This window comes from Homo sapiens, chromosome 2 (genome assembly GCF_000001405.40).
Source record: "Homo sapiens chromosome 2, GRCh38.p14 Primary Assembly".
NCBI lineage: Eukaryota > Metazoa > Chordata > Mammalia > Primates > Hominidae > Homo > Homo sapiens.
In genome coordinates this window covers 140,535,263-140,562,541 of record NC_000002.12, presented here as the reverse complement: position 1 = coordinate 140,562,541, position 27,279 = coordinate 140,535,263, and the positions used below count along the sequence as shown (strand labels likewise).

Genomic DNA, 27,279 nt, shown 5'->3' with positions numbered 1-27,279 from the left:
TCATGTGCCAATCACCCAGCTTTAATACTTCTCAACTTACAGCAAATTTTGTTTGCCAAACACCCCCTCTAATGTCTAGTCTCTAGATAATTGTGAATCAAATCTCACACAGTAAGACATTGTATCTGTAAACATGTTAGTACTTTGTATCTATAAACATGTTAGTGAATGTTAGTTACACTAAACATGTTAGTGTAAACAAAAAGAAATTGTTTTTATCAGTTTCCATTATTGCAAAACCATTAGTATATTTTCGAATAATGGTTCCTTAATTTATCAAATATTCAGTCAAAATATCTGCAGCTGTCTTTTAAAAATCATACTGAGTCACAATTTATATAAGATAAAGTCACTAAACTTTTAAAAGTAACTTTGAAAATATATAGGGTCTTATAATCACCACCACCACTAGGTATTGTGTTAGCTTGTAGATTGTCCATTGATATTCTTTATCAGTTTGAGGAAATTTCCTTTTATTTCTAATTTGCTGTATCTTCTTCTCATGAATCAGGGTTAAATTTTGTCAAATGCTTTTTCTTTATCTGTTGCAAGGATCTCATGTATTTTCTGGTTTATTTTGTTTATATAGTAAATTACATTAATCTTTTTTAAATATTAAAGCATTCCTGAGATAAACCATCTTAATAATCATGTATTATTTTTTATATAGTGTTAAATTTGAATTACTAATATTTTGCTTAAAATATTTAGATTGGTAGTCATAAAATATATTGATATATTATTTCTTGTAGTGTCTGTTAAATTTAGGTATTAGGGTTACTCTAGTTTTATAAAATGAATTGGAAAGTATTTCCAATTTTTCTATTTTTTTGAGGAAATTTGTATAGATGTTATTTTTTTCTTTACTTATATGAGTTTATATTAATTACTTGAGACAATTCATCCTTGAAACAATCTAATTCTTTCCTTCATTCTGTCGGGCTGAAAAGGCATGATACCTTTCCTCTTTATCCTAAGAGTCACAGCCGACACTTCTATAACAAAAGATAGGCTAACAAGAGAAAAGCATAACAATTTAATCACAGCTTTACGTGACATGGGAACCTTCAGAATGAATACCCAAAGACACAAGGAAAATGATTCATTTTTATGTTTAAGTTCAATGAAGAATGGACAGCCATGTAGAAATATGATCGGACAAGAAGGGTATGATCAAATGCTAGCAGACTGAGGTGAGAAAACTCAACCAGGCCTGTGTGGTCAGATTCTTTTTGGATTCTGTGTGTCGGTATGGGGCAGGATCTCTATGAAATGAGGGACTTATGACCTACTGTAGTACAAGGGTAGGATAGAAAATTTCTTCACGGCCAGCTCCTAGACAGAGAGGTGGGAAAAGTTACAGTAATCATTCTACCTTTTACGGCTGGCTGTGAAGAAAAGGAGTTTTAGTTTCTATCACTCACATTGGGGAAGAGGAATTGTATTTTTTATGGCTTGCCTCCAGGGAGAATGAGGGGCCAGAGATAGGAGGACAGGAGAAAGTCAGGGAGAAACTTTGCTTCTGAGGCTGCTTCTGAGGTCTTCACTTCGGGGTATTGTTTTCTGAGCACCAGTACATTCCACTAAATCCCCATTTATCTTTCTTTTTGTGTGTACACAATCACAAACATGTATATATATAGTTGTTCCAACTTCATTTATTGAAGAGCACCTTTTCCTCATGTAATTGCCTTTACACCTTTGTCAAAAATTAAGTAAGTATAATGTGTGAGCTATTTTGGTTTCTTTTCATTTTCCTATACATTTTAGAATTAGTTTGAGAATTTCAACAAAAACTTATGTTAAAATTTTGAATGGGATTTTACTGTATTATAGATAAGTCAGGGTAGAATTTATATCATAATTGTAATGAGTTTTGCTATTGTTAAATATGGCAAGCATACAATAACTTATTTAGGTTCTTTAATTCTGGCATCAGTTTATTAGTTTTCAGTGTAGAGATCTTGTACATATTTTAGTAAATGTATTTCATGTTTATTGTTATGAAATTGTTTTATGTTTAATGATTTAATTTTTAAAATAATGTTAGGCTGCAAAAAAGTTACAAAATAGTACAGAGAGTTCCTATAGAACCTTGACCAAGCTTCCCCAAATGTTAACATTTTAAATACCCATAATAGTTATGAAAACTGACATTGATACATTATTAATTAATCTACAGATCTTTTTCAAATTTCTGCAACTGTATTAATAAACTCTCTTCTAAACCAGGGTCAAATCCTGGATCACACATTACATTTGATGACCAGATTTCCTTGTTGAGAGTTAATATTAGATATTACCCCAGTCTTGCTTTCTCTTGCTTTAACTTTATGTATTTGAGGAGTATTGGCCTGTTGTTTTTTAGCATGTCCCTCAATTTGGGTTTATTTGATATTGTCTCATGATTAAATTCTGGTTATAAATGTTGGGAGGGAGATTATAATAGTGACATTTGCCCTTCTCAGTAATGCTAACTTTGATCACTTGGTTAAAGTGACATTTTATTCCACTGTAAAGTTACTATTTATTCCCTATGAAACTAATTAATATTCTTGTAGGAAGAGTTTTTGAAACTATGTAAATATTGTAATCCTCATTGTATCTTAGCCCACTAATTTTAGCATTTGTTTCATGTTTTTGCCTGAAACAGTGATTTAATGTAAATCTTGCCAAGTGATAATTTTCAATTTCAATTAGTTTCTTCCATATTTATTAACCAGAAATCTCCTCTAAGGAAGAACTTTCCCTTGTTTATTTGTTAACTTGGTTTTTTTTTTTCAATTATTTATGTCAGTGTGGAATCATGGAAATTTATTTTATTTATTCCATAGATTATAATCTAAAACTATTTTTATTTGTTTCTCCAATGTCCCCCCATATGGCCATTAAGAGGTCCTCCAAGTGTACTCCCATGTTCTCTTGACATGCCTCGTCAGTTTTTCAACAAGTTCTTTATTTCTGGCCCCACAAGATATTCCAGGCTGGCACTGGACTTTTTTCTGCACTGAGTACTTAATATGTTTCTGCTGCTGTTACAAATCTGCAGTTGATTTAATTTTAATTTCTATTTTTTCCTTCCTAGTATACAGAAATACAATTGTTCTTTGTATTCTCTGTACTTACTCTGGTCATTTCTTAGTTCTAATAACTTTTTGTGGAACTTTTAATATATTCTACATATATGAGCCTGTTGTGTGTGTCTCTGAATTGGGATCCAGATAAAGTCCATATATTGCAAATAACTGATATGTCTCTTAAATATTTTTAATCTAGTTTTCCTTTTTATCTTGGTTATTTAGGAGGCTTGGAAATTTTCGGTTGTTAAAAAAAAACAGTTAATTTATCTTGTAGAATTTTGAAGTCTAGATTTGCATACTGTATACTATGACATTGTTTAACATGTTCAATTGTCCTTGTATTACATAGTATGTCAGTTAGATCTATAAACCAATTAGATATTTTTGCAAGACTATTATCTGTTTTTCTGTACTATTATCAAAAATCATAAAATGTTTTTGATATTGTAGCCTATACTTATATTTCCTTACTTGTTTGACAGCACAAATTGTGATTTAAAGTTTGTTTTTTTTTTTTTTCCTTTTGGAGACAGGGTCTGGCTCTGTTGCCCAGGCTGGAGTGCAGTGGTGGCATTACAACTCACTGCAGCCTCTACCTCCCAGGTTTAAGCTATCCTCCCACCTCAGCCTCCTGAGTAGCTGGAACTACAGGCACATGGCACCACACCCAGCTTTTTTTTTGTATTTTTTGTAGAGGTTGTTGCCATGTTGCCCAGGCTGTTCTCAAACTCTTGGGCTCAAGTGATCCCCTCGCCTTGGCCTCCTAAAGTGCTGGGATTTCAAGTGTGAAGCACTGCACCCATCCTAAAACATTTTTATCACACCAAAAAGAAACCCTTCCCCACTTAGCTGTCAGTCCTCAAACTCTCACTCCCCTCAGCCCTAAGCAACCAGGTATCTACTTCCTTATAGATTTGCCTATTCTGGAAATTTCCTACAAATTAAATCATATAATATGTGGTCCTTTCTGATTAGCTTCTTTAATTGGAATAATATTTTCATGGTTCATTTATATTGTAGCATGCATTCATACTTCACTTACTTTTAACCATGAATGATATTCTATGATATGGGTATACCACATTTATTCATCATTAGATGGACATTTGAGTTATTTCTACTTTTTGACTACTATAAATATTGCTGCTATGATCCTTTCTGTACAAATTTTAGTGTAGACATATATTTTCATTTTACTTGGGTAAACTCGGATTTGTTCGGCCATACAGACACTATGTTTAACCATTTGAGGCACTGTGAAACTGCTCTCTAAAGTGGCTGTGCCATTCTCCATTCCCTCCAGCACTGTAGGAGAATTCTACTTTTCCACATCCTTGCTAATACTTGTTATTATCTTTTCCATGATAGCCATCTTAACACGTGTGAGGTGATATTTCATCGTGGATTTGACTTGCATTTTCCTGGTGACTAACCACTTTATTCTTTTGTTCAACAAGTATTTGTTGAGCGCCTAATATGCATCAGGTGATATTCTTTGGAGCTTAGGCTTCGTCACTGAACTGCACAGAAAGAGATCCCTACTGCCAAGAAGAATATATTCCTGGGAAGACAGATAATAAGCCATAAACCTAGCAAGTACAAAGGAGAGCTGAATAAGGGCATTGAGTGTGGTATAGTAAAGAGAGGCAAGCTGCAATAGGGAACTCAAGATAAGCCTCCTTCATAGAAAAAGTGATATTTGAGCAAAATCCTGAAGGGGTGAGCCAGATGGTTGTGTGAATATTTTGGGGAAGAGACTCACAGGCATAGAGAACAGCCAATACAAAGACATTATATGTGTTTGATGCATTTGAGGCATAATCCTGATGCATTTGTGGCTAGCACAGAGAGAACGGAAGAGCATAGGGGAGCACAGTAGATAATAGTTCCAGAGAGGTCACAGGGGGTCAGGCCATATAGGGCACTAGAGAGCATTTCAATAACTTTTGAGGCCCTTGGAAAGGATTAGATGTGCAGACACTCAAATCTGGATATAGGAAAGATGCCACTTTTACACATTTTTTAACTTTTGTATTACTGTTAAATTTTTGTATTGAATTTCTGTTTCATTAATAGCATTCTAATGAAGAAGATGAATTTTAAATTGAGACAAGTTTCTAAAGCATATATTTAATTTTAAAGATTATGGGTAAACAGACTTAATGATAATCCAAAATTTTTTGCAAGTCTAAAAATAAACAACATTTTCCAAATGTCTTATTCAAGAAATTGATGAGAGTTTGCTTATGAGGAAGAAAATTGTTGGGAGTTGAAGGTGGGAAGTAATGTATGCATAATTATTGTGATTGTTAAAAATGAATTAAAACTCACTTGGTATGTAAATCGTACTGTAATAAATTTGATTGAAAACTAGATGCATAGTTAAGAAGATGTGTATATGAAAATGCAAATAGTCATGTAGTCAGAACCCGTAGTAGTTTTTACTTTTTATTTTTAAAATATTTGCCTTTTAATTTGATATATTAAGAAATATCTTAGGATGACATCAACACATATTTATGAAAATTCAAATACAGAACTTACTTTCCCACCATTACATATACATTTGATAAATATTTCCATATTTATCAAAGTGACTCTGAGGTGGCCTATGGACATGTATGTAATTTAATTCTATAGTAAAGTAAACATTTTAGATATAACCTCCAGTCACAAAGCTTTGTCACTTTCTTAAAGAGACACTGAAAAAAAATTGTTTTTTTTTTAAATTTGTTTGTTTTGGTTGGCAATCATGAGAATGTTCAGAACAGTATGTTTCAAACAGATGTAGGGACGAAGGTAAGTCTTTCCTTGCCCATTGTTAAGTTCATAGCTGAGACCCTTATAACAAAAGACACAGTAACAAGAGAACAGCATATAAGTTTATTTTATATAACTTTTAAGTGACATTGGAGTCTTCAGAAATAAACCCAAGAAATAGTGAAATCTGTGAATTTTTGTGCTAAGTTTGATGACGAAGTGGATAGTTGTGGGGTAATATGATGGGAGGACCGTGTGGGTTATGATCTAATAGTAATATACTAGACTGTGGGGGGAACTTAGTAAGGCCTGTTTATTCAGATTCTTCTCCATGTCACTGTGCGACATTCCCTTCCTCCACGTATAGAGTACATTGTGGGGGGGCCTTTCCTCCAAGTATAGGGCAGATTAGGGTGTCCTTTCCTCCAAGGGCAGATTAGAGTCCTATGACCTACTTCACAAAAAGGCTAGATAATTCATTTATGGCTTGTTTCAGGGGAGAAAGGAGAGAGAAGGTCAGAGTTGCCTTCCTGCTTCTGCTGTTTTCTCAAATGCCAAGGTTCCATATTTTGGGGTAATGTGTCCTGAGCCCCGTTGGAGACACCCTGCCTCCCCTCATGTATACAACAAACAAACACAATTATTTGATTTCCAGAATTGAAAATCTTGTAGATGATCAGGGTAACTTCATCTACTTGTAACAGCTGCAGTTTTAATATTGTATGTGAATAGAAGCATCGGGCCAGCCAATGTCCATATCGTATGACTTGCTTAGATAAAACTCTGCTTTTTTATTTACCTCAAAGTTACTAAATAGACATAACAACCTTTGTACCCTTAGTAGAACTTTTCAGTTGACATGCCAGCAAAAAATAAATTGGAACACAAAGATTTCTCTAAAGTAGACATTAGTTTTACCTCTAAGCATAGATTTGATGATGTGATAAAATCAGAAGTTTAAAAAGCATTAAATTTACAAATGAAAATCCATTCTAAAAGTTAATTTTTAAGTTGATTTTTTAGTTTGCAACACTTTAAAAAATAAAGATTCAAAGAATATTTAAGATTTTAAAGCTTATTTAACAGGTCTAAACCAACTTATTTAACTCCTACAATATTCAGGCAAGAATATTAATAATTATAGCTAACAATTATTAAGAGCTTACTGTGTTGCCATGCCAAGTGTTTTATGTATATTATTTAACATTTTCCAGAATCTTATGACAAACACAATTACTAATATATACTAATAAGAGGTATTGCTAGATATGAATCCAAACCTCTGACTCTAGCACCCATGCTAATAGTCCTAGGCTGTATTTTTTTCAAATGTATGGAATGTCAAATTAAATTGGCCTTTCCTTGTTATTCATACATGCAAACACATTGAAAGACACATATTCATGCGTATGTATAACTACAGGATAGTTTTTGACTTGTAATCTAGCATCTAAAGTAATATTTGTTTTTTTTTTTTCCTGAGCGTCTGTGAATCTCAATTTGAAAGATTAATACTGGCATTTCAGAATGGTGTGGACATATGAGGTTTTGATTTAATATATCCTCTTTTGACTAGCTCTTCACTTTTTCTACTAAAATATTAAAAATCCAGGAGAGTTGTATTTAGACAGCGAGATCCAGAGAGTAAAATCATTGAAATATTTATCAAAGGTATGAGTTTGATCCTGGGAAGATTATGTCTATAGTTCTTCAGTAAAATACAAATGTTGGTAATACCATTCCACAAAGAAAAGATTTTATTTTGTGTACATACGCAAATAAAGTACAAAGCCTAGCTAGTAGTTCATATACATATACACACACACACACACACACACACACACACATACACACACTTTAAAAGAAGCAGCAGCAGCAGAAGAAATAAACTCATACAGCAGAAGAAAATGTTTTTTTAATCACTCATTTATTTACTATTCTATCAGTAAATAATTATTGAAAGTTAAGTATGTTTTAAGCACTTGGGTTACAAAAATAAAAAGATACAATTACTGGTTTCAAATATTTCAGTCTTTCCAGAGAGACTGAGAAAATAAAAGCTCTTGTAATATCCTCTATTAGTGTTCTAATGAATGTATACAAAAACTGTTCCGGATATGGAGAGGAAAAAGAAGCCATTTTACCTTGGGCAGCTGGAGGAGGATTCCCAAAGAAAAACACTGTTGAATTGACTGTCAAAATGAATGTGTCTGAAAGGAATTCAAAGTAGAAGGAACTCACTAAAAATATATATTCATCTTTTAAAGTAAAATACTCTTCATTGACACAAATCAGCTTATGAATCACAAACTGTTTAAATGTACTTAATTCAAAATTTTTGATAAGCTATAAATTTAATAATTGCAGTCATACATAACGGCAAGAAAATAAAAATATAAAACTTGCCCAGATTCCATTTAGCAGTGGCTATAACACCTCCATAATCTCACAGTTTATATTTATTCTCATGAGTCCTCTGGGTGACCTCAGGCAATATTTTACCTTTTCTCTCCTTAGAAAGGGAGCAGAGGTGAGCCATTGATTTTTCACTATCTTATTTTACAGATTAGGAGACTGAGTCCTAAGAATCAGAAAGAGTTATCCAAAGAAAAATGAAAAATAATGAGTCTCAGAATAGAGTTCTTTCCACTACTACTCTCTGGTGTATCTTCCATATCTTTTCTCTATCCTCCTTCTTCTGTTTCTTCCTCCAGGGGCTTCCCCATAGAAAAACTGGCTCTCTTTCCCGTCGGCTTCTGGTTGAGTTAGATAAATAGATTAGAAAGGGTCTACATAAAATCAAAGGGATTCATTCTTTAAAATCCCTCTCTGAAGGATCTGCCTCTTTAATGAAAGCTGGTGGCTCTTCTCAATGTGGCTCTCTTCTCTAGGCTTCTGAAAACCTCTCCAGCTCATTGGCCTTTCAGACCTAAGGATGTACAGCTCCAGGGTCCTCTACCATCACTTATGGCGTCCCTATACTCTCCAAAAATCCTTGTTAAGAGTCCCTTGATTCAGCCCTCCTCAAAGTATTGTAATTTGAGCACACTAGCTATTTCTTGCTTCAGGCTTAACTGATACAATCTTCCTAAAGACTTGAGGGTATACTGAGAAGCTCAGAGTAATAGAAATTAGGCAATCATGTTTTCTATTTGAAGGTAGTTATCTAGAGGGTTGATTTCACTATTAGAAGAGTTTCCTTAGAGATTATTAGAAGAAATAGAATATTCAATATTAAGGAACTTTATTGCATGTGTGTGTGTGTGTGTGTGTGTGTGTTAAGAGCACAATAGACACAATAAAGGAATATTTTAGATCAATGCTTTGAATGTTGTTCTTTACAAATTTGGGTAGACACTAGTGTCATTTAGGCATCTTGTATTTGTTCTACAAACTCCCTCAGGTAAGTTAAATATAATAATCTATTTTATATTAAATATTTTATTTTAGTTTTTTGGTTTTAAGTTACTGATTTACCACATTACCAATTTACCACATTTCTTTGAAATCAGTAACATTCTATCATACCCAGCCATGGCAGGGACCAAGCTGTCATTTCTCATAATGATTGTTTATAATCTTGTCAATGAGGCAATCAGTTGGGGAGTTTGGGAAGCCTCCCAGTTCCTGGTTTTTAAATCGTTTGGTTTAACATTTAGCATCTGGGTGTTGGAAATATGTTGTCTGGTTTATGAAACTGAATATTTTTACATTCAGGTTTATTTTTTACTGGTTTGAGTGCTTTCACCAACAAGGCACCAGTGAAGTTCCAAGATGCAAAGGGCATGTGACTAGCGACTATGAATTCCTGAAAAAAGAAAATTCAAGTCTGTATGACAATAGATATAGACATAGTTTATCTATGACGACACACTTAAGAATAAGTAGCTGTGTCAAGAAATGTGTTTTGTGAAGAAACATGAATTACCATTTTGAAACATGAACCCATTTCTAGGATCAAGCTAAAAGTGCCTTAAGATTATGCCATAATGGTGCATTACCATATAGCATGGTAGAGTGCAATTTGTGATGACAAGGCTTCTGCGCTCTACATAAAGACTCTGACTAGGCTTGTAAGGGGCAGCATTCATGAACTTTTAATAGAAGTGTTTTAACATGGAAATTGAAACAGGTAATTTAATGGATTTCATTTTCTGTTCCATATGAAATTTAATGAAAAACGAGATGGCAGGAGTTAGCTCAGTTCTTAGTGAAACTTGTTGTACCCTACAAAGGCAACGTGCATAATTATGGACTAAATTTAATATTTTTTTCTCCTCTCTCTATGTCAGCAGAAGTAAAAACTAAACTATTAGACTTAGTGTTAAAGTTAATAAAAGGTTGTTATAATGGCTTCTGGTGATAACATTGAAAAACTGTCATTTTTCATAAGAATATCCATAATAACTGTTTTTATTTATGTCAAGTATCAACATTTTCATTCTTAATGATTCAAAAATGTTTGTTGATGGTCTATTTCATTAGTCTGTAATACGATACTAGGGAAATCAAAGAAATGACTATCTTCCCTAACTTGAAGGGGCATCAATTTAATTATAAAAATAGCACATATACACCTGCTAATAAATCAAAAAAGAGTTTCTCTAGTCCCTGTCACCAAGTCAAAATTAATTCAAATCTTGGATGCTTCGAGTCTGACGTTGTATCAGATTGCTTAGTAAATCTGTGACCTTGAGCTAACTTCTTCAAGCTTCAGTCATTACCAGTAAAATGTGGTTTAAAATAGTATCTATCACAGGGGTTATTATGTAGATTAAATTATGTATTGCACATGAAATACATATACTTCCTGTGCATTAAAAGCATCCATGAAATGTTAGCTCTTACTGATAACTAAAAAGGATGAAAACTCATGAATTCTGGTAAAATGTGATTTAGGGAGTCTTTCATTTGTACATACTGCTGTATTAATTGGGTTCTTCACTTTTCTCTCTTACTCAAAATATCAGAAGTATTATACTTTGGATGAATGTTCTGGATCTTGACTGGTCTCTCTGAAACTCTTTTGGTTCTTATCTAAGCTAGTCTGTACAGCAGAGGCAGAATCTTTAAAACTACAAACCAATAATGACATTAACCTGCTTTAAAAATGTTAATAGCTGACCGCTGCTTTCAGAATAAAACTCAGAATCACAAACCATAGCCTGTAGAAAGGAATGTGTTATATATTAGCCCTTCCTGCCTTTCTCATCAGGCCTGTGTCCTTCTCAGATGTCTGAGGGAGAGTCATACTCACTTAGCCTTTGTTCAGTTTCCCAGCACTTCATGCTCCCTGTTGTTGTTGGATTTTGCACCAAATATTCCCTCTGTCAAAGTCCTTTCTTCCCAGTCCCCCTCCTCTTTGCTTATTTGCCCTTCCCTTTCCCAGGACAATCTTAGATGGCATACCAGAGCAGTTATTATTTTTACACTCTCATAGCAAGCAATCTGTCCTTCATACTGATTTTAAAAATATATATTTACTAAAATTTAAAGCAGCTGTAAATCTCAAAGTGTGGCTTTTAGCTCAGGCTGCTATAATAAAATGCCATAGACTGGGTGGCTTAAACAACAGAGATTTATTTCTCACAATTCTGGGGGCTGGAAAATGTGAGTTCAAGGTGTCAGCATGATGAGGGTCTAGTGATGGCTTTACCGCTTCCTGGCTTTCAGACAGCTGCTTTCTTGCTGTGTCCTCACATGACAGAGAGAAAGGGCTCTCATTTCTCTTCCTCTACTTATAAGGACATTAATTACATCACTGGGGCCCCACCTACATGACTTTGTCTAAGCCTAATTACCTCTAAAGGCCCCACCTCCAATTATCATCATACTGGGGCTTCAACACCTGAATTTGCGGGAAGGGGACACAAACACTCAGTTCATAATACTATTACAGATGACTTTTTATATTCCTGAAATACTGACTAGGAAATGACATGCTATCTCTAAAGAAATCCAAACGAGAAATACTATATTTAATCTGTGTACTTACTAGGTATTAGCAGTCGTTTCAGATTTCCAATAGGATAAACTTCTGCATTAGTTTTCCAAGCCTCCAGTGCGTGTTTGTTTGCATGTGTGTGTGTGTTTGGAGGACTGACAGTGATGTGAAAATCACTGTTTTACAGCAGTGTGTCCTGCACTTACATTGATAAAATTTTTCTAAGCACAAGAGAACTTAAGAAAGAACTCTCTTGTCATTTTGTAAAATGGGATGTTCTAATATATTACAGATAAAGGTAGACATTTTCCTTTCCTCTCTAAAAAGGTTGAAGTTTGGGGATATTTGCTTTTTTCAGGTTAAAATTTTATTTTACTCACAACTTAGGGTACTTTGTAGTGCTCCAGCGCCTGTCACTTTGAGTACTGTGCTCTTTCCCCTAGGAGGAAAAGACAAAGAAGTTGGACAAACCATCTGCATAGCAGTGGGTAATGAAGTGAAGCGCTTAGAAAAGAAAACAGATGAAGAAACCCCCCAGTTCAATGCCAAAATACTCCTATGGGGTTGCAATTTTCAATCCAGGTTTTTAAAAGTCTTGAGTGCAGCCAGGTCATTTGAGCAGGTGCAGTGCAAAGGCCTCAAAACTCACAACGACTCACGTTCTTACTCATAAGCAGGAGTTGAACAATGAGAACACATGGACACAAGGAGGGGAACATCACATATCGGGGCCCGTCAGAGGGTGGGGGCTAGGGGAGGGAGAGTGTTAGGAGAAATACCTAATCTAGGTGACGGGTTGATGGGTGCAGCAAGCCACCATGGCACGTGTATACCTATGTAACAAAACTGCACGTTCTGCACATGTACCCCGGAACTTAAAGTATTGAAAAAAAAAACAACAACAACTCACAACACTACAGCCGATGCTAGGCCCCGCTGTATGCTTGCAGAGCTAATGCAAGGCCGCCACCATCTCCCCATGATCTCTGTGTGAATTTGGGAAACTAATGGGAACTAAAAGGGACATTGAAACTATACCCTTTGAGAGTAAGTAGCAAAGGCGTACCTAGCGTGTTGACAGCTGTTTCATTTACTGGGCAGCACCAGATGCAAAGTAGGGAAAACAAAACATAAACAGTGACAGTAAAAATAGTATTTTACTTTGCTCCTGTCCTTCTATGTGCTGCTACTCAACTTTCCATTACTGCTTTTCTTTTCTCGTCTCCATGACAGTGATACAATGAGAAAGTTGCAGTGAGTTGGACAGATAGGCTGTAGTGGGCTTACACCATTTTGGCTGGCAGCAGAAGTCCCATCAACTCACTTTTAATTGAATACAAAAGCATACATTTGATACCAATTTGTAAGGTAGAAAAGGAAAGAAATATAAATTTCTAGTCCAAATTGGTGAATACTTATATATCCGTGTGGCAAGATTATTATTTTGTTTATTTTCCCACTTTTCTTTATTTTAAAATTCTCAGCTACCCAAAGTGAGTCCCTGAATCAGCATCATTGGCATCTGGAAGCTTCTGAGAAATGCGGAATCTCAGGGTCAATACCTGACCTAGTGAATCCAAGTCTGAATTTCAACAACATCTCAAAGTGATTCAGATGCATGTTGAAGTTTGATAAATATTGATTCATAAAACAGAAATTACTTATATATTCTGAAAAAAAATGGAAGTGATTGCTCATATGGGAGGGTAATTAGCAGTTAATTTAGAATGAATGTGGCAGGGTTTTGGGAAATCAGAAAGATAATGTTGTTAATTACCTCACAATAATTTACAGTTTTTTTGTTTTTGTTTGTTTGTTTGTGTTGGTTTTTTTGAGACAGAGTCTTGCTCTGTCACCCAGGCTGGAGTGCGGTGGCATGATCTTGGCTCACTGCAACCTTTGCCTCCCGGGTTCAAGCGATTTTCCTGCCTTAGCCTCCTGAGTAGCTGGGATTACAGGCACGCACAACCATGCCCGGCTAATTTTTTGTGTTATTAGTAGAGACGGGGATTTCACCATGTTGGCCAGGCTGGTCACGAACTCTTGACCTCAGGTGATCTGCCTACCTTGGCCTCCTAAAATGCTTGGATTACAGGCATGAGCCACCACGCCTGACAATTTATATTTTGATAGAGGATGAGGGAGAGAGATGTGGTATTCTTTTAATTATCATATTCCTTAAATTATCTGTTTTCTCCAAACTATGCCAATTTCAGTAGTTGCTAAATGTTTTAATGTTAGAGTATATTAATTCCTAAGGAGGCGATGTGTGGCAAAAGGAGGGGGTTGGGATATGGAGATGAAATAAGAAGATGGTTAACAATGTGAACACTGGGTGCAACTTTGCCACTTTGGCCAGGTTACCTAATTTCTCTGTGTTTAAACTTTCTCATACATGTAAAGAAGATTATGTCTTCCTCACAGTTTATTAGTAAAACACTTAAATTAGTAACTGGCATGTAAGCTTGATACATTTGCTGTTATAATTTGGAGTTAAACCTTATATCAAGTTCCAGATCCTACATTAATGAGGTGTATCACTGTTGGCAAGTTGCAAAATCTCTCCAAGCCCGTCTCTTCATATCTGAATACAATTTGCAATAATACTTGCCTACCTAAATGATCTTAAGAATTAAATGAATACTATGTATAAGTACTTACTAAATACTTTGTATAATTCTCTTATTGGCTAGAATCATTATATGCATTAATTTTTGTTTATTTTGCTAAATATTTATTTCTTGATTACCATTCCTTTGCAGTAATCATTCCTGTAAAAGTTTCTTTTTTTTTTTTTTCCTGATTACAGGGAAAAGTAACCCAGTGAGTCCTGTTTGGAATATTAATACTGAGGCCAAATAATCAAATCGATACCTTTATTTAAAAAATTATATTTAGGCTATTTAATTTGATTTTAAAATACAAAAAATTAGAACAACTCTGCAAGCGGAAATCACAAAAGTCTATAGTTCTAAAGTGGATACTGATTACCAAGCTCTCTTGGCTTGGAATTTGGTAAGGCAGAAGGCCCATTTCTTCATTCTAAGTATGCCACAGTGCCTCCACTCATATAATTTATCCATAAAAGGAAGGAATTACTTCCTATATTACATAACAGGAAGGCACAGATTTGTTCCAAATGAAACCAGGGGCTGGTTTTCTGAAAAAAAAATTAATAAACTAGATAGACCACTGGCTAAATTAATAAAGAAGAAGTGAGAAAAGATCCAAATAAACAATTAGAAACGAGAAAGGAGATATTACCACTGACCCCACAGAAATAGAAATAACCATCAGAGAATATTATGAGCACCTCTGTGCACACACACTAGAAAATCGAGAATAAATAGATTAATTCCTGGACACATATACCCTCCCAAGATTGAGCCAGGAAAAAAATTGAATCCCTGAGCAGACCAATAATTAGCTCTGAAATGGAAAAGTAATAAATAGCCCACCAACCAAAAAAAACCCAGGACCAGATGATTCACAGCCAAAGTCTACCAAATGTATAAAAATAAGCTGGTACCATTCCTGCTGAAATTAGTACAAAAAAATTGAGGAGGAGGGAATCTTCAACAACTCATTCCATGAGGCCAGCATCATCCTGATACCAAAACCTGGTAGAGATACAACAAATAAAGAAAACTTCGGACCAATATCCTTGATGAACATTGATAGCAAAAGTTCTCAAGAAAATACTAGCAAACTGAATCCAGCAGCACATCAAAAAGCTTATCCTACAATCAAGTAGGCTTTATCCCTCGGATGCAAGCTTGGTTCAACATATGCAAATCAATAAAGGTGATTCATCACATACACAGAACTAAATACAAAAAAAACACATGATTATCTCAATAGATGCAAAAAAGGCTTTTGATAAAATTCAACACCCCAAACCTCAATAAACCAGGTATTAAAGGAACATATCTCAAAATAATAAGAACCATCTATGACAAATCCACAGCCAACATCATACTGAATAGGCAAAAGCTGGAAGCATTCCGATTGAAAATCAGCACAAGGCAAGTGATATGGTTTGGCTGTGTCTCCACCCAAATCTCATTTTGAAATGTAGTTCCCATAATCCCCATGTGTCACGGGAGGGACCCTGTGGGAGGTACTTGAATCATGAGGATGGTTACCTCCATGCTGTTCTCATGATAGTGAGTGAGTTATCACAAGAACTGATGGTTTTATAAGAGGTTTCCCCCTTCTTTGCTCTGCACTTCTCCTCGCTGCTGCCATATTAAGAAGAACGTGTTTGCTACCCCTTCTGCCATTATTGTAAGTTTCCTGAGGCCTCCACAGCCATGCTGAACTGTGGGTCAATTAAACCTTTTTTCCTTTATAAGTTACCCAGTCTCAGGTATGTCTTTATTAGCAGCATAAGAATGTACTAATACAACAAGGATGCCCTCTCTCACCAACCCTTTTCAATATAGTATTGGAAGTCCTGGGCAGAGCAATCAGGCAAGAGAAAGAAAGAAGGGGCATCCAAGTGAAAGAGGAAATCAAAATATCCTTGTTTGCAGACAATATGATTCTATATCTAGAGAACACCATAGTCTCAGCCCAAAAGCTTCTTAAGCTGATAAACAATTTCAGCAAAGTCCCAGGATACAAAAACCAATGTACACAAATTACCAGGATTCCTGTACACTAACAACTACCAAACCAACAACCAAATCAGAGATGCAGTCCCATTCACAATTGCAACAGACACACACACACACACACACACACACACACACACAACCTAATAATACAGCTAACCAGTGAGGTGAAAGATCTCTGCAAGGAGTACTACAAAACACTGCTCAATGAAGTCGGAGGTGACACAAGTAAATGGAAAAACATTCCATGCTCATGGATACGAATAATCAATATTTTAAAAATGGCCATACTACCTAAAGCAATTTATAGATTAAATACTATTCTGGTTAAACTACCATTGAAATTCTTCCTAGAGCTAGAAAAAAAAGGTTTTAAAATTCATATGAAACCAAAAAAATGCCCAAATAGTCAAGGTGTCCTAATCACACAAACTGACTTCAAACTGTACTACAGGGCTACAGTAACCAAACAGCAAGATACTCATACAAAAACTGACGTATAGACCAATGCAACAGAATAGAGATTCCAGAAATAAGGCTGCATACCTACAACTGTCTGGTGTTCAACAAAGCTGACAAAAACAAGCAAAGGGGAAAGGACTCTATTCAATAAATGGTGCTGGGATAAATAGCTAGCCATATGCAGAAGATTGAAACTGAACCCCTTTCTTAAACCATATACAAAAACTGACTCAAAATGCATTAAATAATTAAATGTAAAACTCAAAACTATAAAAACCCTGGAAGACAAGCTAGGCAATACCATTCTAGACATAGGAACAGGCAAAGATTTTATGACAAAGGCACCAAAAGCAATTGCAACAAAAGCAAAAATTGACAAATGTAATAGAATTAAACTAAAGAGCTCTCCACAGCCATAGAAACTATCGGCAGGGTAAACAGACCACCTACAGAATGGAAGAAAAATTTTGCAAACTATGAGTCCGACAAAGGACTAATACCTAGCATTAATAAGAAACTTAAATTTACAAAAAAAAAAAACTCATAAAAATGTGGGCAAAGGACATAAACAGACACTTTTCTAAAGAAGACATATATGCAGTGAAAAAACATATGAAAAAAAGCTCAACATGACTGATCATTAGAGAAATGCAAATCAAAACCACGATGAGATACCATCTCACACCAGTCAGAATGGCTATTATTAAAAAGTCAATAAGTAACAGATGCTGCCAAGGTTGTAGAGAAAAAGAAAAATGTTTTCAACCATTGTGGAAAACAGTGTGATGATTTCTCAAAGGCCTAAAAATAGAGATACCATTCGACCCAGCAGTCCCATTACTGGGTATATACCCAAAGGAATATAAATCATTCTATTGTAAAGATACATGCACATGGATGTTAATTACAGCCCTACTCACAATAGCAAAGACATGGAATCGACCTAATGCCCATCAATGGTAGACTGGGTAAAGAAGATGTGCTGTATTTATACCATGGAATACCATGCAATCATAAAAAATAACAAGATCTTGTCCTTTGTAGAAATATGGATGGAGCTAGAGGACATTATCTTTAGCAAACTAATGCAGAAACAGAAAACCAATTATCACATGTTCTCACTTATAATTGGAAGCTAAATGATGAGAACACGTGGACATATAGAGGAGAACAATAGACACTGGGACCCACTGGAGGGCAGAGGGTGAGAGGAGCGAGAGGATCAGGAAAAATAATGAAAATAATCAGTGGGTACTAAATCCCTGAGGGATGAAACAATCTGTACAGTGAACCCCTGTGATACAAATTTACCTGTATAACAAACTTGCACATATATCCCTGAACTTAAAAGTTAATACCCCTGTGATACAAATTTACCTATATAACAAACCTGAACATATACCCCTGAATTTAAAAGTTAATACCCCTGTGATACAAATTTACCTACATAACAAACCTGCACATATGCCCTGAACTCAAAAGTTAATACCCCTGTGATACAAATTTACCTATATAACAAACCTGCACATATACCCCTGAACTTAAAAGTTATTAAAGGAATATAAATGTTTTTATTACCACTGAATTGTGCACTTAAAGATTGTAAAGATGATAAATGACACATATATATTATACTTCTTCTTCTCCATACGTCTCTTTATTTAGGATTTTGTTAATTTCTCTTAGCAATGTTTTATAGTTTTCAGATTCTTGTACATGTTTTCATATTTAAATATTTTATATTTGTAGAGGCTATTGTAAATAGTTATTTCCTATTTCAATTTCCAATTGTTCATAGCTAGTATACAGAAATACAATTGATTTTTTAATAACAGCCTGGTATCCTGCAATTTTACTAAATTAATTTATTCATTCTAGCAGCATTTGTTGTAGATTCTGTTAAATGTTTTTTTATGTAGAAGATTTAGTCACCTGCAAATAAATACAGTTTGACTTCTCTTTTCCCATGTAGATTCTTTTTATTTTATTTATTTATTTATTTTTGCCTTATTATACTAGTTAGAAACGCCAGGATAATGTTAAATAGAAGTAGTGAGAGTGATCACCCCTGTTTTGTGCCTCGTTATATTTCTATTCATATTTTTTGAGTTTTTGTCAATAATAGAAGCCATATCTTATCAAATGGTTTTTCTGCATGTATTGGGACATGTATATGAGTTTTCTTCTTTAGTCAGCTATTATGGTGAATTATGCTGAATGATTTTTTAATATTGAATCAGGTTGTATTCCTGGGACAAACCTAATTTTATCATGATGTATTAACCATTTTATTGACATAAAAAAACCCAGTTTTTAGTTTTACTGATTTCGCTCTATTGTTTTTCTGTCTTCTATTTTTTTAAATTTCCCTTCTTTAGTTTCTTCCTTTTATTACTTTAAGTTGCTTTTCTTCTAGTTTCTTAAAGTGAAAGCAAAAGTCATTGATTTGAGAATTTTCTTCCTTTTTATATTTTCCTTGCATAGTACTTTGCTGGTATACATTTTTATATTCTCATAAAAAATTATTGACAGTTAAGCTAGTTTGAAACAGTTTTCTCCTTTCAGGCTTGGCTTTTACGATTTGTTAGAGAAGACTAGAACAAAGTTTATTTAGTCTAGGTTAATAGTTCCCCACTGCTAAGGCAGACCCTGCGGAGTACTCAGAGTCTCATGAATTAGAATTTGAATTAAATATTTGAATCTGGTTGGTGTTAACAGGCATGATTTCTGGACCCGTGTGAACTTGGGGACTCTCCTCTCTAATTCTTTCCTGTGGTTCTTTCACCAGCCTGGAGGAGTTGGCTCGCACACATGTGCACGCACTTATCAGTACTTGACTGAATGCTCCAGGATGACTCTTTTCAGATACCCACAGTTCCCTCTGCTGAACTGTCAACTCTTGACCCTCTGCCCAGTGAGATATAGCCACCCATAACTTTCACTTCCCGTAACTTTTATTCATGGAGTTCTCTGGGCTCTGTTTCTGTCCTGTGTGTGCTGCTACCTATAATCTCTCTCTGGTAAACGGTGGATGCCATGGGATGCACCCAGTATTTCCTATTACCCAGGAATCACTGCCTTTCATTTCCTGATGTGCAATGTGTTGAAAAGTGTTGTTTACTATATTTTGCTGTTGTGTAGTTGTTTTAGATGAAAAGATCAATCTAGTCCCTTTTACTCCATCTTGATCTGAGTGAAAGTATGGTCTTTACTTCTAAACTTTTATTCTCAGACATGTGCAACTAGTTTAGTCACTCATGCGGTGAACTTCCTGAAGAAAGAACCTAGATCTTATGGTTCTTTATATGCCATATGTAGTTCTGGGAACTTGATGAGTATCTAACATATATCTGGTGATTTCTTACTAAAGGTTAATAAATGTTGATAATCTTCGTCTAATATTTTGGCTTGTTGATTTTTGTTTATAATACAAAACAATACACTTGTTATACACATTGAATAATTAAATAAAAGTATACTTGAAATATTATGTAAACACACTGCAAGCACTAACAATGACTACAACATTTTAAATAAAATATAAAGCATATTATCATAATTCATTTAGTAAAATTTTATTTTTATCTGATGATTTCTGTTAATTAAATCCAACTAATCCTAATCTTTTATTTTTGAAGCAAAAATAGGTGTGGACGTATAAATGTCTATATATTCATCATAAAAATACAGTATTTTAATTTATTTCAGGTGATAGTTAAATCTGGGCCAGGGACTTTCCTCAGTTTGGCTGTTTATGACAATTATATATTCTGGTCGGACTGGGGAAGAAGAGCTATACTGCGGTCCAACAAGTACACAGGAGGAGATACAAAAATTCTTCGTTCCGATATTCCACATCAGCCAATGGGAATCATAGCTGTTGCCAATGACACCAATAGCTGTAAGTTATAATAGAAAGCAAATGTGTTTTTTCATTGTATAATCTCTGATCTCTAAAAATGTATATATGTTTTCTAGTAATAGTTGGATTTGCTTTTTCTTTTAAAAAATATTATTTTTTGTTACTATGACTGTGGATTTTGTTTTTTTCTAGTTCTTAGGAATAGTGTTCAAGATTTGGCTGTTCAAAATATTGAAATTATCTGAAATATTCAAGGCAACTTCTATATTGCATAATTTATCATCACAGGAGCAGTTCATTTTTAATTATTTCTTCTAAAAATCTTATTTCATCCTCACTCTTCATAACTTCAGATTTTCAGATCAAGTTGTTTCCATGAAAATTACACTTGATAGATAAACTTTGCACCTGGGCTTAACAGTTCTTTAGTCAATGCAGTGCTTACAAAATTACAGTTTGAAGCATCAATGTGGTTTCTAGCAGAACTAGTTCATTTGATGCCGTGGTATCAAATGTGTTAGAAAGATTTGATTAGTGTTACATACTTTTGTAATGTACTTAGCCTTAGGAATGCTTAGATTTTCAAAAATCCTGAATGTTCCTTTTTAATGACATATTATTGAGAGATTGAGGCAGTCTAATAGTTTACGATTAATATTTATCTAACATAGAACAGGAATTCGATATAAAATGTTACCAATACACCCTCTTTATTGTAGGTGAACTTTCTCCATGTGCATTATTGAATGGAGGCTGCCATGACTTGTGCCTTTTAACTCCCAATGGGAGAGTGAATTGTTCCTGCAGAGGGGACCGAATATTGCTAGAGGACAACAGATGTGTGAGTAAGTAAAGGGAATTGAAATGTAATATGACAAATCTGTTCCAAATTCCACACACATCACTGAAATTGTGTTAGTGTATTCATGAAGTTATACTCTCTTCTAATATTAGAAGCTTAGTCATGTTATCTCTCTGCTCTAAAGAAAACCGAGTTCACTGTTCTGCTTAGTTATAGGACCATGTGCTAGTTAGTGATAACCAAAATGGTAACAAATGTTTTTACCCTCCTGTTGTGCACTAGAAAGTGCTGGGGCTAGCTAGAGAAGTGTCTGCACACAATGATCATCTGAAAACTTCCAGTTGTGACTTTGTGAATTCAATCAATAGCAAAAGTAATTGAAGCTGAAATAAACTGGTATACAGGCAGTATATCAGTAGCCTTGCAGTAAAACCACTCACAGTCCATCATAGTATGTAAATGAGAGAGAATGGCTCATGCAGCTTATGTGTAATCATTTCCAAACTGTTAATTAAGAATGCAACATTGCAGCCTTGCATGGTGTTTATACCTCCCAAAGGCATTACAAACTTTAATTAGCACCATTACAATACACACTTATTAACAGCTAAGTTTCCAAAACTGTTTCCAAAATAAATCAGGGTTCAAGTGTTTCAATATTGCCATGAAAAATTTGCAAGCAAAATTTAAAAAAGGTTAATTTCCTTTTAACGTTAAGGCAATTTATGTATAAGGTAGGAGAGAAATATCTTGTTGGAAATCAGTGAAATCATTCTCAGGATGTGTCAGATTTGATACATTTTTTGTCTCTCCTCACCTATTAATATATCCTCATCTCATATCTTTTCATTCAGAAAATTAACAGAGTTGGATATGTCTACATAATAAAAATAAGTATTTTTCATCTTCATCTTCAGTCGATTTTTACTCTCTTTCCACTGGAAGGATTTTATCTCTTACCTGCTCTTCAATGCAAGTGCTTGGGCATAATTTTCTTTAGCTTGAAAATTCTTATACCATATACAAAATAACATAGACATATTTTCTCACTGTGAAAGTTGATACTACAACCCAAAAAGGCACCTCTTAGCAAAAAAAGTAAAAGTTGATTTATTTAAGACTATGCCAAAGCAAATGAGAAAATGATGCAATTGGTCAAAATTTTAAATGCAGATGGCCAATTTCCATATTTCGGGCCACAAATTCCCATATTTCTTTGTCACTTAACACTTCTCTGAATTGCTCAGGCAATTGCTTAAACTCTTTCAGTTTGCCTTTGTGGTTTCAGCTGTAATGGTCTGGATCTGATGCCATCTGTAAGCCCGGAGTGTTAGCCATGCGTTAGAATCACTCATGTTTCTTTCACAGGTCACTTCAGGCTAGTAGTGAAGCAATGCCTTTAGTCAAAATGGCAAAGCTTATTTCTGTTCGGTGGAGGCCTGTCCTTGCTGCATAATACCTTCAATACAACTGTCCCTACTAAGCTTCTCTCTGTTGACGAGAGGAAATGAATCAGGAAGAAAACTGACATCTTAAACAAGCACAATTGTATTCACATGGAACTGTAGAGTGATATTGGATTTCCCAGAGCTCACAATCTGTTGTAGAGGCAGACGACGTCCATTGTGCATTCATATTGAAATCCTGTAGCCCAGCAGAGAGATTAGAAAGTAACTCTTGGCTCCTCCTTGTCAAATTTATCTTTAGGAACATGAGAATGTTTCTGGCACATCTGTGTCCTCATCTAAGTGATTTTACCCAGAGTGGTTCATGAATGTTAATGGCAGCATTAAAGGGGTGAAAGGCCATGTACTAACACCTACCTGAGGGCAAAGGAGGGAAAACCATTTGTTGTCATAACTGTTGACAAGAAGATTAGGCAGTCCCCTTGCTTACAACATTGCTAATCTTATTGTAATCCATAAAAGAAATAGATACAGTAAATATAATTAGATGAAGTAATTGCTGTGCAAGAGAATAAGGGCAGCTGAACCATGATGTTTCCAGAAAGAAGCAGAAAACACTCAATACTATTTCATCAAATGAACATACCTGAGGAAGAATTGTATTCATACAATGTTTGTTTTTGCATAATGTAAAAAACATATTTATCTTTGAATAGTTTTTGTCTTTTCCCCAAAGGCACTAAGATTATAAAAGATTAAAAATGGACTTTTCCATCCTAACAATTATTTTTTCATTGGAAAATACACAGTAAATAATATACACTTAAAATAGGAAAAATAAGTCAGGAATCTCAATAGACTTTCAAGAAGTGGCTGAATTTTGTTCTATGCTAAGATGATTGCATTTAGCAATATTAGCACCCTTTTATTTTTTTTAATTTAATATTGTTCTGTTTTAAATTATTTGCTACCTTGTCTTAAATGACATTCTGCCTTAGCTAATGACTGAACAATGAAGTTTAGACTGCACCAAGAGAAAAGAAATATATCTTTGGAACATGTTGTTATCATCGAGAGAGTTAAATTAGAAGTCAAATAAATAAGGTGAATTGACTCGGGAACAGAAAACCAAATACCACGTGTTCTAATTTATAACTGGGAGCTAAACATTCGATGCTCATGGACATAAAGATGGCAACCATGGACACCTGGATCTGTTAGAGTGGGGAGAGAAAGACGGTGGACAAAGGTTGAAAAATTAACTATTGGTACTATGCTCAGTACCCGGGTGACAGAATCAATCATATCTTAAACCTCAGTATCATGTAGTAAACCCATGTAACAAACCTGCACATGTACCTGCTGAATCTAAAATAAAGGTTGACATAATAAATAAAAAAGAAGCCTTAGATAGACCCTCTACTAAATTAATTAAATTCTAGGAATAATAAATAAATAAAACCTTGGAAACTTCAAATAGTATTAGTGGCTGTTTAATTGAATATTCCTGAACTAAAGCTCAAAAATTAATACTAAATTATAGAATTAAGCTATATTCTTTCATTAGCAGAGATGAATGAATTCTACTTACCTCCAACATAATTAATACAACTGGATTTAAACGTACAATTATTCAGCAAGCAATGGGGTGAGTACGTACATGCAAGCAGACAGTATACCCCAAAAATTGGATCCCAAAATTTGCTAGTAAATCTATTACTGAATAATAAAAATAAGTCCATTGTCCTCAATAGAGACCCTTCAAAATAGGGATCACATATTGCCATTATAAGGATGAAACTCACCTGTAGAAAATAACTTTTTGTACTTTCAGACTCTTGGCTTACAAACTAGGACAAATCACCTAAAAACTCAAACTCTTAATTTTTAATAAAAATTCTGAGATTTAGAAATGTGACTTTCTGACAGCGGTCATCTGGAGTCCATAGCATCAGGTACACATGCTTTCCACTTGACCATTGTCCTCCTGCACCTCATCCCACTGATTCCTGTACATTTCATGGAGTAGGTGCTCATCATGTATGGCAGCAAGAAAGAGTCTGCTCCCGGGAACCTCCCACACATGGATGGGACAAGTGACTTATTTTAACAATTCTAATATTTCCAAACAATATAACTTGCTACTGAGGTTTCATCAGAAGATAGTTAGGGAGGAAGACCAGACGGTGGGGAAAAGTCCGGATTGTTCATTTGACTGAGATGATTCACATCAAACATTCAAAAATGGGTACTCTATGCACTGAAAAATAGTAGTATATTGAAAAATATATAATAGATCCCAGTAAGAAAACACAAAAACACTTTCAGTATGTACAGAGTTCATTTAACTGGCTGTTTTAAAAAACAATAATAATAATTATTATATTATTATTATATATTATATTATATATTCTTATATATAATAATAATTATTATTTTGATACAGAGTCTCACCCTGTTGCCCAGGCTGGAGTGCAGTGGCAAGATCTCCACTCACTACAACCTCTGCCTCCCGGGTTCAAACAATTCTCCTGCCTCAACCTCCCAAGTAGCTGGGACTACAGGCGCGTGCCACCATGCCTGGCTAATTTTTTGTATTTTTAGTAGACGGGGTTTCACCATGTTATCTAGGATGGTCTCAATCTCCTGACCTCATGATCTACCCACCTCAGCCTCCAAAAGTGCTGAGATTACAGGCGTGAGCCACCGCGCCTGGCCAAAAAATTATTTCTTAAGATCTTAATTTCATAAAGAAATGTCATAAACCATTGCTCTTTAATTGTACATTTTGATAAATTTTAGTTTATCTTTATAATTAAAATTAAGAAAAATAATTGTAGTGGTGTCAAAAAATATTTGCCATTGCACAAAAGTATTGACTTTTTTTTTTTTTCTTGCAGCTAAAAATTCCTCCTGCAACGCTTATTCGGAGTTTGAATGTGGAAATGGTGAGTGCATTGACTACCAGCTCACCTGTGATGGCATTCCTCACTGTAAAGATAAATCAGATGAAAAACTGCTCTACTGTGGTAAGTGTCCAATATGGGTTTGCTCGTTTCAGATAAAGTTTTCTGATTCTTTACAGTTTTTGGTTTGCTTGTCTCGGTGTGGTTTACGTGGATAATTTATTTAATGTCTCTCATTAACCTGTATCTAAGGCAATTGATGTGGCTTTGCTTGTGTTAAAATGAGGTACTTTATCTCCTGTTTGATAGCCATGATATTCACTAAATAATTTCCTCATGGTTTTCTATCCACAAAATAGCCTTTTTTTTTTTTTTTTTTTTTTTTTTTTTTTAAAGAGACGGGGTCTCATTGTGTTGCCCAGACTGGTCTCAAACTCCTGAGCTCAAGCAATCCTCCCACTTCAGCCTCACAGAGTGCTAGGATAACAGCACTCCGTGAATGTGAATAAAAATATTCACATTCTGAGCACCACACCCAGCCAGAATGTGAATATTTTTCAAAGTAGTAGCTAATCTTTTGAACCCCCGACTTATTCATCTTTAGCAATAGGTTTTAGGCTTACTTTCTTTAAAATGTAACTCAGAAACATCGTGATTTTTGGATATGGACAGGCTTACTCTGAAGCAGAGTTTCACCAACAGACAATAGCACATCGTTGGCTTGTTATCAAAGTCTTGTCGATTCTATTTCTGTCTCCAGGATTAGCATGGGGGCTAGTGTCCTTTGGTACAAAGGCTCATTGCCTTAGGCATGGTCCACATCAAACATAGAATTGCACCAGCTATGCTTCTCTTGGCAACACCAAGTGATAGTCAACATCTACCCTCAGGAGTAGAGATTAACTTTTATACTCTAGTAAGCAACTGAGATTTCCCTTCATTGCAACAATATTTTTTCCTGGAAATATGTCTTTGCATGATCATTGATAATCATTGTATATTTGATCCAGATTTTTAAAAAATTGTCCTGATTTATTTTTAATCCTAGAAATCCAATAGCATTGGGATCGTGTACTATGCAAAATTTAGGAATCTACATCTGAAACTGCCTCATTTTATATCTGCTTTTCTCCTCTATTCCATTATCCGGGTAATAATTACACCTAAATAATTAAAGAAAAGTTAGAATAAGAGAAAGACAGAATCTGTGAGATCCACAGACATCTTCTCACTCTTTTACGTTACAAGACAACACACCATCGTTTAAAATGAGAGTCTAATGTAATTTGTCCATAATTGATGTGTAACCAATGTCTTAAAGAATTTGTCTCAACATATTCGCTTTAATGAATGGCTATATTCTATAAGATATAAAAATATTAAAGCATATAAATTGTATTGCAATAAAGTCACAGGCTTGCATTTACTATAAGTTGACTTG

The 27,279-nt window shown here is 34.7% G+C and overlaps 1 protein-coding gene across 4 annotated transcripts in view; it reads left to right on the top strand.

The window, feature by feature from the left end:
• LRP1B (LDL receptor related protein 1B) overlaps positions 1-27,279 on the top strand; it is a 1,899,594-nt gene that overhangs the window by 1,568,475 nt on the left and 303,840 nt on the right. For all 4 annotated transcript variants that reach the window (NM_018557.3, XM_017004341.2, XM_017004342.1 and 1 more), the window contains 3 exons: positions 20,571-20,763; positions 21,444-21,569; positions 25,833-25,961. In NM_018557.3, the coding sequence (NP_061027.2) occupies positions 20,571-20,763; positions 21,444-21,569; positions 25,833-25,961 (448 nt within the window). The remainder of the gene's footprint in view (positions 1-20,570; positions 20,764-21,443; positions 21,570-25,832; positions 25,962-27,279) is intronic.